General features: G+C 38.1%; 2 long non-coding RNA genes across 2 annotated transcripts in view; one reads left to right on the top strand and one right to left on the bottom strand.

Moving 5' to 3' along the window:
* The window catches only part of LINC02778 (long intergenic non-protein coding RNA 2778), a 144,047-nt gene that overhangs the window by 56,352 nt on the left and 71,461 nt on the right, over positions 1 to 16,234 (top strand). The window lies entirely within an intron of this gene.
* The window catches only part of LOC105378761 (uncharacterized), a 94,372-nt gene continuing 89,685 nt past the window's right edge, over positions 11,548 to 16,234 (bottom strand). Inside the window, exon 3 of the long non-coding RNA XR_947431.2 lies at positions 11,548 to 11,925. This is a non-coding gene — a long non-coding RNA (uncharacterized LOC105378761). The remainder of the gene's footprint in view (positions 11,926 to 16,234) is intronic.

Raw genomic sequence — 16,234 nt, forward strand, 5'->3', positions numbered from 1 at the left:
TGAAACACATGCTTGACAGTGTGGGATAAAGGGGGGAAAAAAAAACAGAAGGGGAAGAAAGATTAGGATATCAGAGTGCATCACAGAGAATTGGTATGTGAATTCAAGAACTTTTCTGTGTTCTAAAGTCCCTTCATTTTTCCAGCCAGCTCCAAATTAGTAGACAATGGGGGCTATATTTGAAGGAAATTCCCAATACAGTCATTGTTATATAAAAATACCCTCTTGGGGAGGCCATTCTCTTTTAATTTTCAGAGTCTCTATTTCCAGAGGGGTACCCAGTAGTATGAGAGAATATGTTCAGGGAGAAGATTGTGATGGTCACTCACCCTTAGAAGTCTCTAAAGAAGAGCATAAGATAATCTTTATTCTGAAGAGAACCACAGTTCAATTATGTAGACGGGGCAGAGATAGAAAAAATATATAGTATTGAATCACGGGTCAAGCACTATACTAAGATTTTTACATGCATATTCATTCACCTTATTTTCTCAATAACCTATTATTTCCCCATTTTACAAAAGAAGAAGCTGAAGCCCAGATAAAGTAAATGAATATCCAGACGAGCTGACATTTGGATCATAAGAGGTAGAGCTGGGAATCATACCTAGGTCTGAGTGACTCCAAATTCAGCCTCTTTCCATTGGACTACATTCAATAAATACTTGGTTAATTTGGAGGGCAGGAAGGAGAAGAACCACGTTTGACTCACTGTCAAGTTGTATTTATTTGTCCTTAGGTCTGTGGTTTTCATTTTGCCCTACATATCATATTAATCAGCTGTTCCACTAACAAACACAGATTTAAAACGCTCCTGGAATGTTTGACTTATTCAGTGACTTCATCATTAAAAGGACACTGGGGAGGGAGGCAAGAAAGGAGTTTTCCAATATCCATTACCATGTGCACACTGCCCTCTCCCGCATCCCTCTCTTGACATATCACTCTCCATTCAGCTTTATGCTATCACAGTAGCAAAAACGCAGCTTTCTGCAAGATACATGAAAAATCCATCACTCTTTACCGTGGTAAAGGACTTTAAAGTACAAGACCGAAATGAAGAGACATCACTGTTGTAACTTTAAGCTCAGAGAAAAAATACATATATGGTGATAATACCTACACACATTTTCTTTTCTTTTTTTTTATTTATTATACTTTAAGTTCTAGGGTACATGTGCACAACATGCAGGTTTGTTACATATGTATACATGTGCCATGTTGGTGTGCTGCACCCATTAACTCATCATTTACATTAGGTGCACTTACACACATTTTCACACATTAACATTTAAAGTGACCATGCCAGCTGTTAAATAGGAGAATATAGTAGAATTTAGTCTCTCTACTAACTGGACTAGTTTAAGAATAGAACAGAGAGAGAGAGAGAAAACAAAGCTAGAAGCAATGCTCACTGTAACTGAAATAATGAGAGACATTCAGATTCTGAGGAGACTATACATAAATGAGAAAGAAATAAGGTTGAAATGAAATAATTAAAAGCTTTTATAATCCTGTGTGTGATTATAATTGTGTGTTATAATAATGAGGCATACATTGTAAGTCATTTGCAGTAAGAATATAATTACTATCATTTGTATTTGCCAATTCCAGCATTCCTGGAGTCAGCTGGGGAAAGAAACAGTCCTAAAGAGAGGAGCCAAGGCAAGGGAGAGGAGGAAGTGGTTTCTCTCTTCTTGTTGCTTTTCTTGCTGGCAGGTGGTGTCGAGTTAAATTTGGCCTGAGGCTGCATCCACACCTTGATTCCCTACATAGTGAACTGCATTATTAGTACTAACTAAAACCTAATTTAGGAGTATAACAAAAAGCCCAGTTTCAGCCAATTGCAAGCAGCTGGGTAAGCAATCACAGGCATCCAGATCATTATGCCATGCCCAAACAATGCAGATGCCTACCTGCTGCAAATCTGTTGATTTATCTACTTTGCTTTTGCATCTGGTCTATAAACACTTGCTATTCATGCTGCTGGTCAGAGCTTTCTGAACCTCCATTAGTTCAGAGTGCTGCCCAATTCATGATTCACTTTTTGCTCAAATAAATTCTATTTAATTCGTTTAAGCTTTTCCTTTTAACATCGACATCAATCCCTTTTCCACTGAACCTGTCTCCTAACAGGTCTTGTCTGCTCTACCTGAAGCTGAATCTAGGGCCTCAATGCATGCCCTAATTGCTTAGGAAATATCACAGAGAGTCTCCATATGACACTGAGACTAAAAGTCTCTTCAGTGCCATGGAGAAGGAGATTGTTGTTTCAGTGAGTGGATGGTATAAGGTAGATTGGTGGTTCTCAAAGGTTAACATGCATCAGAATCATGTTGAGGGTTTGTTAAAACACAGACTGATGGTCCTAACTCCAGAATTTCTGATTCAGCAAGTGTGGCATGGGGTTCAAGATTTTATGTTCCTAATAATTTTTCACATGTTACTGATACTGGTGACCCGGGGCGGGGGGGTCCCACTTTGAAAACAACTGTCTAAACTCAGACAGATTGGGTTCCTATCCAAGTTCTTTCACTTGAATGACTACAGGAAAATTACTTTACTCCTCTAAACGTCAGTCTCCTGTGCTATAAAATGGGCCCAATTCAGAGCATTATTGCATGGATTCAATAAAACAATGCACACAAATTTCTCATCCCTACTCTTGGTGTTTGGTAAGCATTTTGTAAAACTTAGTTAATTTTTAACAGTATTTTGTTACTTTCTATGGCAAGATAATACATATAAACTATGTTAAGCAGCTAGCAGCTGGAGAGGAAGGACAAAGAGTAGGAAGCACCAGTGTTCAGAAACAGATACCAATTTATATTTTGGTCACAGTGAGTAATCAGATTTCCTTGTACTTTGGTGCTGTGCTGGCTGTATAAAAATTATCTGAGAGACATGCAAAAATATATTCTATGTGCTACACTCAGAAATTTGGATTTATTAGGTCTGAGACATGCTCTGGTATTGGTGTTTCTAAAAAAGCTCCCAAGACTATTCTGTTGTACTTTCATGTGTGAAAAACACTGGCATTAGCCATCAGATTGCTTTCCTGACATCAACTTCTAAGGCAGTGTTCTCAATTTGAGTTGAACATTAGAATCATCTGGGAGCTTTCAAAAATCCCAATGGCTACACCCAGACCAATTACATCAGAAGCTCTATGGGTTGAATCCTGGCATTGGGTTTGTTTTGTTTTTCGAAAGATCCCCAGTTAGTTACTATATGTAGCCAAATTTGCGAATCATTGTTCTAAGAGAAGGAGAGTTTTACTGGTTGAAGATGAATTGTCAAGAAGTAATTTTGAAATACAGTATTGTATTAGGCAAATATTATCTTGGTGATAAAAAAGGATTGGTCATCAGAGAGAATTATAAGGACACTAACAGTTTTTATAAGTGCATTAGGCATTAGAAGGTGGGAGAAGGACATAGTAGTCCCTAAATTATGTCTGTCTCTTTGAATTCTTTTGGGGGCAGCCTTTACCTCCTCTATATCTCAATGAGATGCTGTTTTATATTTGTTAATTACACTTCTCTCATTACAAAATGTGAGCAAACTTTCTGTTCTTGTTGTTTTGCCTGAGGTGGGCTAAATACTGTGCTAAGTGTAATCCAATTAGAACCTTAGATTATCCGTGTGAAATAAATATTATCTTCCCCACTTGCAAATGAAACATCAGCTCTGACAAGATGATAGCTTGCCTATAGTTACAGATGTGGTAAGTTGCATCATTATAAACAGGCCCCACAGGCTTAACTCAGCAGTAACAACTTCTCTAGCACAGCCTCAGTTTTTGTTCCTGAGATTTCTCTTAAATATTTGTAAAATGTTTTCCAGTGGGATGGGATTAAAACTGAATGTTCATAGAATAGATAAAAGGACTTATTATTGACCATAGACAGGAGATTGGGTCTATTCTCTTTTCCTAGGAAAAGATTAAGAAGCATCAGCATAAATGCCCTTTGGTGGCTCTGCTCACTGTGTGTCTGAGATATAGTTCTGAAAAGAATATAGCTTTTATTAAATTGATTTGCTTACTTCCTTAGATATTTGATTGCCCTCAAAGTTTTTCATCATCTCCTCACCATTTACAATATTGAACATAAAAGTAAAAAATTTTATTGAACAATAAAAACGCTCTAATAAAATAAAGGTGGTAAATCTTTCCAAGTGGCAGCACAGAAGGCATTCTATGCAAGCCAAGAGAATGGGCCTGAGTCGGGAATACATGGGATAATATTGAATCTTATCTGTAACACATGCAGCAAATAGAAACCCCTTGAATATTTAGACCTACAGAAGAGACAGAAAATGCCATCTGTGAGAGACAAATCAAGGCCCTGGCATGGACAAAACAAGCCCCAACATTTCCACTTATGTGTGTTCTGCATTGACACTGGACAGTCAAAGCTATCCCAAGCCACTTTGGTGGAAGGATTTATGATGTATTGTTTGGCAAGCTGATTTAAACGAGCCTCTGCAAATACACTTAGTGTAAACTTACCCATCATGGACAATGGAACTGTTTTAAGATGGTTTTCAGATTCATCACAGCCTCTATGGTATTTTCCTTTAATAATGCATCTTGAAAAATAAGATGTTTAGCTAAGGCTGCTAATTCTTTGAAACTCTAATAATTTAAGCTGTCTAGCCTTGTTCATGGTAATTATTTCTATCCATTATCCATCATGCTAAGAAATGACAGCTCAGGGACAAGGAGACTTTTCAAGCAAATGCTAAAGCATTTGTTTTAGTTAGCCAGCACTAGCCAATGTTAATTAAATTATATAAACAATGACTCATGGTATAAATACAGAAGCTTGAAAGAAAAAGAAGACAGTTCAATCAGTTCAATAGCTTTAAAACTATATATTGTTTCTAAAATAAAAGGGGAATTTTATTATTTTTGACTTCATATTTATCTTTCTTTAAAATTCAGTTGTTAAAATACATTGTCTCTGAAAGTCTTATACCTAAGATTATCAGGAGACGAGAACATGCATTTCTTTATTTTGGATTGAAGACACATTTTTAAAAAATGTAAGCTCCTTTAGGAGTCACAGGATCATGAGTCTAGCTGCTAGCCATTCTCAAAGTGGGAAACCAATGTCAGTGGATGGAGTTTACACTAATATTAGTGTAACTGCCAATATTTCTCTAACACACAGTGTAGAGTGTAACCACTAATATTTCTCTAACACATACCACTCTTTTATAATAAGTGTCTGAAAAGCTTTAGAAGGTTACTAGTTTTGAAATTTTTATTCTCTAAGATGGATAACATCTCAGAACCAGTGGCAAGTATAAAAATGTGTAACCATCATCCTCTACCCATTGCTCACCTACTCTGCACTGAGAAAAAAAAATATCTGATAGGATGCCCATGTTCTTCAATTTATAACAAAATCAACAGATTAGCCTCCTAGAAATTCAGAATTTTGAAGTGCTGAATTAACACATAAAAAGGAAAGAAACCCTGGGTCACCCTTGCCTTCTAGTGATTTCCACTTTTTTTTTTTTCACCATGCACAGTAGAGTCATAGGAAGAATTAATGCTCCACAAACAAATCAGTGGCCTTCATAATATGAACATACCCTGATAATTTAGGGGACTTAGGTAAAGTAATTTGCGAGCTCCTTAATGTCAGAGGCTATGTGTTATTCACCTTCGTGTGGCTCACAGAGCCGGAAAGGATGCTTCACAGGTCCTCGATGGGAGTAATATGTGTAATGGCTATTGCAGCCTGAGCCTAAGCAGATCACCGTAGGATTCAAGCATGTCTAGATGTGATGAGGAAATGTCCACAGAATAGATCATTTAAGGACATGATAGACATGATAAATTTGTTATTTGGTAAGAACATATTATAAAAGAAGATAAAATGGCATTGAATAATGTGATTATGGAAACCGAGAAGTCCTACAACCTGCCATCTGCAAGCTAGAGACCCAGGAAAGATGGTGAATCAGAAGAAGCCAGGGCATGGGAAGATTAATGTCTCAGCTCTATTAGCCAGGCAGAGAGCAAATTCGAACTTTCTTTGCCTTTGTGTGTTATTCAGACCCTCAATGGACTGGATGATGCCCACCCACAGTAGGGAGGGTTATCTGCTTTACTCAGTCCACCAATTCAAATGCTCATCTTTTCTGGAAACACCTCCACAGACACACTCCAAAGTAATGTTTAATCAGGTATCTGGGCATCTCATGACCCAGTTAAATTGACACATAAAGTCAACCATTACAAGTCCTCTCCTTGTCAACTTGGCACCCATAGATATCTCCTTAAGTGATACTTATTCTCCAAATAAACACAATAACAAGGCCCATAATTCTGCCTAACATGACACTACTACCCTGTATATCCAAAAATACACTAAACTATTCTTCAGAAGAGGAGGTAAAGTCCTTGAATGATGTTTACTCTTCTTCTTGATATCCCATAACTTAACTACTATAGTGTAAAATTAATACTTAAACACTATGAAATAAAGTCAATAGGCAATATATGTATATACATATTATATATATACATTGTATACATTATATATACACATATTATATATAAATTTTATATTACATATGATATGTATGATATATAAATTACATAAATATATAATATGATATATATAAATTATATAAATATATAACATAATATAATATATTATATATAAACATAATATTGTATATACTCTGTGGCCTAGTCAAGTTGATATATTGTATTTATATATATACATTTGTATATGGAGAGAGAGATGTATTTTAAGGCATTGGTGTACATGATAAGGAAATAAGAGAACAAAGAAAACAAACACAGTTGAAACATACACAGGTGTATCCATAACAAACTAAGGAGAAAATGCTTGAGGGTGATTACAGTCCTTGTGATATATATAGCTACCCTCTTCCCCTGCCTTGTCTTTTTTGCCTTCAGTAAGCACCTCAGTTAATCATGGTTCTTTATCAGGTTGGGTGACCCAAACTTTCATTCCTGAAGGGTATGGGCCATTAGTAGTCCTGCCTAGATTAGGGTATTGTAGTTTTCCATAGAACTTAATCACAGGACATAGTACTAATAAGAGACACCCTAAGGGATCTCTTGTATCCCAGACATACTTTTTCTTTGCTCGATTGTGGAATAGTACTCCAATTTCCCCCTGTTATTCAGGATCAATCACCCTAGCCAGCACAGTAACTCCCTTATTTACCTGTTGATTCAGAGGCACGAGGAGCCCAGAGTGGCTGGGTGACAGTCTTTTTTTTTTTTTTAACAGTCAAAAAACCTTTACTAAGCGGCCATCATGTGCCAGGAATAGAAGAATAAATAAAATTTTCTAAAGTTACTAGTACTTTAAAGTACTCCAAATTTACAAGTACTTCACACATGTTATATAAAACAAATTAATTCTTTACTGGTGTGTATTTCAGTTGATGATTCTTTTGGGTGGCAGTCTTAACTACCAGTTCAATCAGATAATTGTGTGGGTGGAAGCCTCTCTCCCTCTGGATCCAAGAGCTCTAGGCCAGAATAGCATAAGGTCAGGAGAACAGGAAGCAAAAATTTTGCTTATGGGTCACTAGGAGTAATAGTGAGTGGTGCCATTCTCATTTCCACCCTTGATTCCTGAAACCTGGAATTCTGGCTTGTAGTTTACAGGCCTGAGAGTTGGGGTATAATCCAGTCTGAGTCTAAAGGCTTGAGAACCAGAAATGCCGAGAGGAGGAAAAGATCAAAGTCTCGGCCAGGCACGGTGGCCCATGCCTGTAATCCCAGCACTTTGGGAGGCTGAGGCAGGTGGATCACGAGGTCAGGAGATTGAGACCATCCTGGCTAACACAGTGAAAACCCGTCTCTACCAAAAATGCAAAAAATTAGCCAGGCATGGTGGCATGCACCTGTAGTCCCAGCTAATCAGCTGAAGGAGGACAATAGCTTGAACCCAGGAGGTGGAGGTTGCAGTGAGCCAAGATTGTGCCACTGCACTCCAGCCTGGGTGACAGAGGGAGACTGTGTCTTAAAAAAACAAACAAACAAAAAAAATCGAAGTCCCAGCTCGCATAGGCAGGCAGAGGGAAAACTCAATTTTCCTCTGCCTTTTTGTGCTAGTCAGACCCTCAATGAATTGGATGATGCCCATCTACATTGGGAAGGGCCATCTACCTTACTCAGTCCACCAATTTAATGCTAATTTCTTCTGGAAATACCCACACAGGCACACCCAGAAATGTTTAACCCGATATCTGGGCATCCTGTGGCCTACTCAAGTTAACACATGAAATTAAACATCAGACCTCAAATTGGGTTCAAACTTGGCGCTGAAGTAGAGGAATGATTAAGTATAATTTCACATCTCTCATTTAGATTTTCCATTGGCCCAATCCTTATTAAGTCATGACTGAACTCGCCTTTCTAGAGGTCCTATGAAACAATGAGTGATAAATAAGTAAAGAAAACAAACAAACAAATAGCTGTAGGATACAGTGTGAGCAGCAACTCCTGCCGTGAAAGGAGATCATAAGAGTGCCTACAACAATTATAGAGGGCAGAAACTTCAATGCAAAATTCAGCACCCTCAGTAGTCAGTATCCTTGTCACAGAGAAGAGTGGGCAGAGGCAGAAGTGGAGGCACTTTTTTAGACAGTAGCAGAATGCATGCTTGTGTGATCATCATCAAACACCCAATTTGAGAAATGTTCTTGATTAAACACAGTGTGGGGTCAGCTCACCAAGAACATGACATACTGAAACCATCACCTTTCTATCTCCATCAGCCCCTCCCTTGACCTAAGGAGAACAGTATCTGAAAGGACAGCTATACCATTTTTTCTGCTAGTGGTAGCATTATTAAATGAGAGAAACGCCATAGACTGGTATATCAGGATTTTGGCTAGGAATTGGTTGATTATCAAGATTATCTCTGTACAACATGGGGGAAATATACCTTTGTGATTTTAAAGTGTTTGAATTATTTACTTAACGTTAAAGTCCTCTAGTGTCATAACTATTGCCCCAGTGGACTGAGGAGGCTCATGGGAAAGAGCCTACCCCAAGGGAAGAGGGTCAGGTTGTACAAATCTGTTTTAATGACAGGAGAGCAGAATCGAAGTATGCATGATTTCTAAAAGATGTTTTTCAAATGAGAAGGTGGCCCACAGTAGAAAATAATAGACAATTTGATAGTCAAATTAGATATAAAAAGTTCCCATAGGCTATAACATTGGGATGAATCTAACTAACATGATGAATGAGGTGGGAAGAAAAGAGTGTTTTTTTAAAAATGTATAGGATGAGATAGTAGGATTTATATGATACATTTAAAATACAGTGAGCTGCCCAAACATTTTTGTTATATTCTTAACATTAAATTGAACTCATTTCTCAAATAAAATCATATCCAGTTGCCTTTCAAATTCTTGGGAAACTAGTATTTACTGGTACAATAATGGGAATGGATACAGTTTTTGAGTTCTCTACACATAGAAATCAGTTGTTTTATGATGAGTGACAGTGAAGAGGACACATACTACTAGTTGGGAATTATTAGGCTATTGAATGTGAAATTACCTTAACTATCTCTGACATCTTAAGCTTATTTCACAGACATTTGCCTTAGACAAATTTCCAGATGTTTAGGGATTTTTCAGATAATGTTCTGATGTTGGTTTCTATTTTAATTAGGTTGTGATCAGAGAAGATATTCTGAGTGATTTCAGTGTGTTTAAATGTTTTGAGACTTGCTTTATGGCCAAGCATATTGTCTGTTATGATGAACGCTTCATGTGCACTTGAAAACTATGTGTATTCTGCATTATTGAGTATAATGTTCTACAAATGACAATTAGGTCAAATTGGTTGATAGTGTTGTTCAAGACCTCTATATCCTTATTGATTTTCTGTCTACTTGTTTTATCAGTTATTTAGAGAAAAGGTCATGAAATTTCCAGCTATAATTGTGGATATGTTTATTTATCTCTTTAGATGTCAGTATTTGCTACATGAATTTTGAAGCCCTGTTATTAGGTACATATGCATTAAGACTATTACATCATATTAATGAGTTGGTGGACCATTTATAACTATGAAATGCCACTTATTTCTGGTCATATTCTTATCTTAAAGTCTACTCTTTTTGATAATAATATAGCTATTCCAGCTTCCTTACTTTTACTCTGTTTTGATAATACAGCTACTCCTGTTTGCTTACAATTACTCTAAGTCTGTGTCTTTATACTTATATGAGTTTCTTGTAGACAATATAGTGTCTTGCTTTATTATCCAGTCTGACTTTCTCTGCCTTTCAATTGGAGTTTTTAGACCATTTTCATTTTATGTAAGTATTGGCATGATTTGATTTAAGTCTACCATCTTGCTATTTATTTTCCATTTGCCTAATTTGTTCTGTATTCCTTTTACCTCTATTTTGAAGAAAAGTTACAAAACATTCTTTATTTGTTTTTATGTAAGTGATGTGTCTTCCCCCACCCCCCTTCCCAGCTGCTTTTAAGGTTGTTTTCAATTACTGATTTTTAGCAGTTTGATTATGATGTGCCTCGGTGTGACTTTTTGTTCGTTTGGTTTTTTTTTTTTTATCTTGCTGTTTTTTTTAGCTTCCAAAAAAGGATATGGGATTTTATGAAATTGATTTAAAAATGTAACCATTATTTTTCAAATGAGTTTTCTGACCATCCCCTTTCTTTTTCTGGGACTTCAGTTAAATGTATATTAGCATACTTAGTATTGTCTCATGTTACTGTGATTTTGATTATTTTTTCAACCTTTTTTCTTTGTGCTTCAGTTTGGATGAGTTCCATTACTATGTCTCCAAGTTCACTGTTCATTGTTATGTCTTCAAGTTCTTTTGCAGTGTCTACTCTGCTATTAATACCATCCACTGATTCAAACAATTTTTTAGATATTGCATTTTTAAATTTTAGAGTTTTTAAATGTTTCATTTTTCTGTATATTTTGATCATGATTTATTCTGAAACCTTGGTTGTATTTCTAACAGCTGTCTTAAGGTCCTTATCAGTCAACTTTATCAGTTTTTACACTTCTGTGTCTGTTTATATTGACTGTTTTTTCCCTCTATAGGTCAATTTTTTATGCTTCTTCATATATATTATAATTTTTCATTAGATGCTGAATCTGTGGACATAACATTGTTTTGTTGTCATTTTTTCTCTTTTTCTTTTTTGAGACAGAGTCTCATTCTGTCACCCAGGCTAGAATGCAGTGACGTGATCTCAGCTGACTGCAAACTCTGCCTCCCAGGTTCACACCATTCTCCTGCCTTGGCCTCCTGAGTAGCTGGGACTACAGGTGCCCACCACCACACCCGGCTAATTTTTTGTATTATTTAGTAGAGAGGGGGTTTCACCGTGTTAGCCAGGATGGTCTCGATCTCCTGACCTCATGATCCACCCACCTCGGCCTCCCAAAGTGCTGGGATTACAGGCGTGAGCCACCGTGCCTGGCTGTCATCTTTTAAAGATAGTTGAACTTGGTTTAGGCAGGTTATAAAGTTTCTTGCAGATTAGTTTGATTATGTTGAGGCTTAATTTGAAGGATTTTAAAAGGCAGCCGAAATTAACCTTTATTCTAGGCCTAGTTTATGTTTAGTACAGAGGTATCATGCTTCTGGGGTTCTTACTGAATTCCCCAGATATTAAACAAGATTTCTTTACTCTGGCTGTTTAGAAGGAGTCACAGCCCTGTGTGAGCTCTGGGAATTGTTCACCTTACAGCTTTATGGTAATCGTTCTTTCTATGACAGTTATTCTCTGCCTCATTCTATTACTTTACCTTGAAAATTACGTGTGTTTCAGTCTCCCAAAGCCCGATTTCTGTCGACTTGTTTCAGAGTCCGGTGTTTTGTTTGGGCTCCCCCTCTTCCTCCATAATGATCCAGAAAATTCCTGCAGGCAGAAAGTTGGGACAGTTGTAGGACTTATTTTATTTGTTCTCTTATATCAAGGATCACACTTCTGGGCTGCCTCCTGTTCAACATGAGAAAAGAGTTGTTTACATAGATTGTGCAGTTTTCTAGTTATAAGCCAGAGGAAAACAAGTTTAGTGCTATAGTACTATACACTCCATTATGGGTGTTAGCAAAGTTTATAGTGGAAGTTTTAATCTCTTGCCTTGAAGTAAATTTTTTAATTTTAACATTCCTCCAAAATATTTTATATTTCATAAAATAATACATGGAACTTTTGGTTTTCAGTCCAGCATATAAGAAGCTGGAAGTTGCCACTCTGTCCTGACAAGTAAAAAACTGAACAAACTGAAGGGTCAACAATTATTCTTAGATACATCAGTGGGTTGTGGTCACAGGGCAAACCACTGCTCCTAAATTGGAGAGCCCAACATTCAAATTCAGAGAATTGTGGCTTGCTAGAACAGAAATCCATAAGCACAAACTTCCGCTGAAATCAGTGCCAAGGTGGAGAAACCTGAACTATAAGGGATAAATTGCTGGAGGCTTAGCATGGACAAGTCTGACAGATAAAAAATTCCAGGGGTACCCAGTCATCAGAGTCTCCTCGCACTTTTGTAAGTTTGACCTCCAGGAGCTCAATCAGTGTATTAGTCCATTTTCACACTGCTGATAAAGACATACCCGAGACTGGGAAGTTTACAAAAGAAAGAGGTTTATTGGACTCACAGTTCCATGTGGCTGGGGAGGCCTCACAATCATGGCAGAAGGTGAAAGTCACATCTCACATGGCAGCAGACAAGAGAAGAGAGCGTGTGCATGGAAACTCTCCTTCTTAAAACCAACAGATTTCATGAGACTTATTCACTATCATGAGATAGTGAATGGGAAAGGCCTTCAGTATGGGAAAGGCCTGCCCCCATGATTCAATTACCTGCCACCAGGTCCCTCCCACAAAACATGGGAATTATGGGAGCTACAATTCAAGATGAGATTTGGGTGAGGACACAGCCAAACCATATCATTCTGCTCCTGGCCCCTCCCAAATCTCATGTCCTCACATTTAAAAACCAATCATGCCTTCCCAACCATCCCTCAAAGTCTTAATTCATTTCAGCATTAACTCAAAAGCCCACAGTCCAAAGTCTCATCTGAGACAAGGCAAGTCCTTCCTGCCTATGAGCCTGTAAAATCAAAACCAAGTTAGTTACTTCTTAGATACAATGGGGGTACAGGCATAGAGTAAATACAGCCATTACAAATGGGTGGAATTAGCAAAAACAAAGTGCTATGGCCCCATGCAAGTCTAAAATCCAGCAGGGCAGTCAAATCTTAAAGCTCCAAAATGATATTAACTCTGTGTCTCCCATCCAGGTCACATTGATGCAAGAGGTGGGTTCCTATGGTCTTGGGCAGCTCTGACCCTGTGGTTTTTCAGGGTATAGCCTCCTTTCCAGCTGCTTCCATGGGTTAGCATTGAGTGTCTGCAGCTTTTCTAGGTGCACGGTGTAAGCTGTTGGTGGATCTACCAACCTGGGGCCTGGAGGGTGGTGGCCCTCTTCTCACAGCTCCACTAGGTAGTGTCCCAGTAGGGACTCTGTGTGGGAGAACCTACCCCAAATTTCCCTTCCGCACTGCCTTAGCAGAGGTTATTCATGAGGGCCCTGCCCCAGCAGCAAACTTCTTCCTGGACATCCAGGAGTTTCCATACATCCTCTGAAATCTAGGCAGAGCTTCCCAAACCCCAATTCTTGACTCTATGCACTCACAGGCTCAACACCACATGGAAGCTTCCAAGGCTTGGGGCTTACACCCTCTGAAGCCATGGCCTGAGCTCTATGTTGGCCCCTTTTAGCCATGGCTGGAGCAGCTGAGATGCAGGGCATCAAGTCCCTAGGCTGCACACAGAATGGGGACCCTGGGCCTGGCACACAAAACCATTTTTTCCTTCTAGACCTCCAGGCCTGTAATGAGAGGGGTGCCATGAAGACCTCTGACATGCCCTGGAGACATTTTCCCCATTGTCTTGGGGATTAACATTTGGCTTCTCATTACTTATGCAAATTTCTTCAGTTGGTTTGAATTTCTTCTTGGAAAATTGAATTTTCTTTTCTATCTCATTGTCAGGCTGCAAATTTTCCAAACTTATATGCTCTGTTTCCATTTTAAAACTGAATGCCTTTAACAGCACCCAAGTCACTCCTAGAATGCTTTGCTGCTTAGAAATGTCTTCCACCAGATACCCTAAATCATCTCTCTCCAGTTCAAAGTTCCACAAATCTCTAGGGCAGGGGCAAAAAATACTGCCAGTCTCTTTGCTAAAACATAACAAGAGTCACCTTTGCTCCAGTTCCCAACAAGTTCCTCATTTCCACCTGAGACCACCTCAGCCTGGACCTTATTGTCCATATTGCTATTAGCATTTTTGTCAAAGCCATTCAACAAGCCTCTAGGAAGTTCCAAACTTTCCCACATTTTCCTGTCTTCTTTTGAGCCCTCCAAACTCTTCCAACCTCTGTCTGTTACCCAGTTCCAAAGTTGCTTCCACATTTTTGTGTATCTTCAGCAGTGCCATGCTCTCAGTAACAATTTACTATATTTGCCCATTTTCACACAGCTGATAAAGACATACTTGAAACTGGGCAATTTACAAAAGAAATAAGTTTATTGGACTCACAGTTCCATGTGGCTGGGGAGGCCTCACAATCATGATAGAAAGTGAAAGGCAGATCTCACATGACCACAGACAAGAGAAGAGAGCTTATGCAGGGAAACTCCCCGTTTTTAAACCATCAGATCTGGTGAGACTTATTCACTGACATGAGAATATCATGGGAGAAGCCTGCCACCATGATTCAATCACCTCTCACCAGGTCACTCCCACAACACATGGGAATTCAACATGAGATTTGGGTGGGGACACAACCAAACCATATCAACCAGGTTCTTACTGTAAATAAAGAAAAATCTCCTTGTGCTTCTGGCAAGGACCAGGGAAATATAAATCATTTAAAAATATGCCAGAGCATTCTGTTCTCCTTAACAAGGCCTGTCCTCAGGAGAAACTAACCTTCTGGAGTTTTGTCAGAGCCTAACTGCCCTAGAATGAGGAAAATACCCAAGTCCAGCACCCTCTAGCTATCCTGTTCCACCAAAGCAGGGGTGGGAGGACACTGAGAAGCACATATGATGTTCACAGTCCAGAGGTACAGGCTCACTGGAAGACTGGGACCTCCTCACAGGACTAGAGAATGCTTCCCTTCCCTCCACAGCCTAGCATCACATTACTAAAAGCCTATTTACTGCAATCCCTTTATTCTAATATATCATGTCCAGCTATCAATAAAAAATTACAAAAAACACTAAAAGGGAAAAACAGAGATTGAAGAGAAAGCTTCAGAATGAGATGTAGATATGGCAAGAATGTTGGAATTATCTGACTGAGAATGTAAAACAACTATGATTAAGATGCTAAGGGTTGTAATGAATAAAGTAGACAGCATGCAAGAACCGATGGACAATGTAAGTGGAGAGATAGAATTTCTAAGAAAGAACCAAAAAATAAGTTCTAGCAATAAAACAAAACTGTAACAAAAATGAATTTCTCTAATGGAATTATTGGTAGACTAGATATGGCTGAGGACAGAATCTCAGAGCTTGAGAGTATCTCAATTGAAACCAACAAAATTGGAAATCAAAGAAAAAAAGACTGATAAAATAAAGCAGAATATCCAATAACTGTGGGACAACTAACAAAGGTGTAACATGTGTGTAAGGGGAATACCAGAAGCAGATGAGACAAAGAAAATATTTAGAATATGTTAATATAAAATAAATATTTGAAAGAGTAATGACATAATTTCCTCAAATTAATGTCAGACACCAAACCACATATTGAGGAAGTTCAGAGAATGCTGAGCAGGAGAAATGTCAAAAATATTACACTTGGCCATATTATTTTCAAACTATAGACAATTAAAAATAAGGAAAAGATCTTGGAAGAAGTCAGAGAGGAAAAAACACCTTACCTATTGAGGAGCAAAGATAATAATTCCAACCTCCCCTCAGAAATTATGCTAGCAAGATGAGAGTGGAGTACAATATTTAAAGTGTTGAGAGAAGAAACCACCAACATAAAGTTCTGTACCTTGTGAAACTATCCTTCAAAAGTGACAAATAAATAAAGACTTTCTCAGACAAACAAAAACTGAAGGGATTTGTTGCTAGTAGACCTGCCTTGAAAGAAATGTTAAAAGAAATTATTTAATAAAAAGGAAAATGATAAAGAT

The sequence above is a fragment of the Homo sapiens genome, chromosome 1, assembly GCF_000001405.40.
Source record: "Homo sapiens chromosome 1, GRCh38.p14 Primary Assembly".
Classification (NCBI taxonomy): domain Eukaryota; kingdom Metazoa; phylum Chordata; class Mammalia; order Primates; family Hominidae; genus Homo; species Homo sapiens.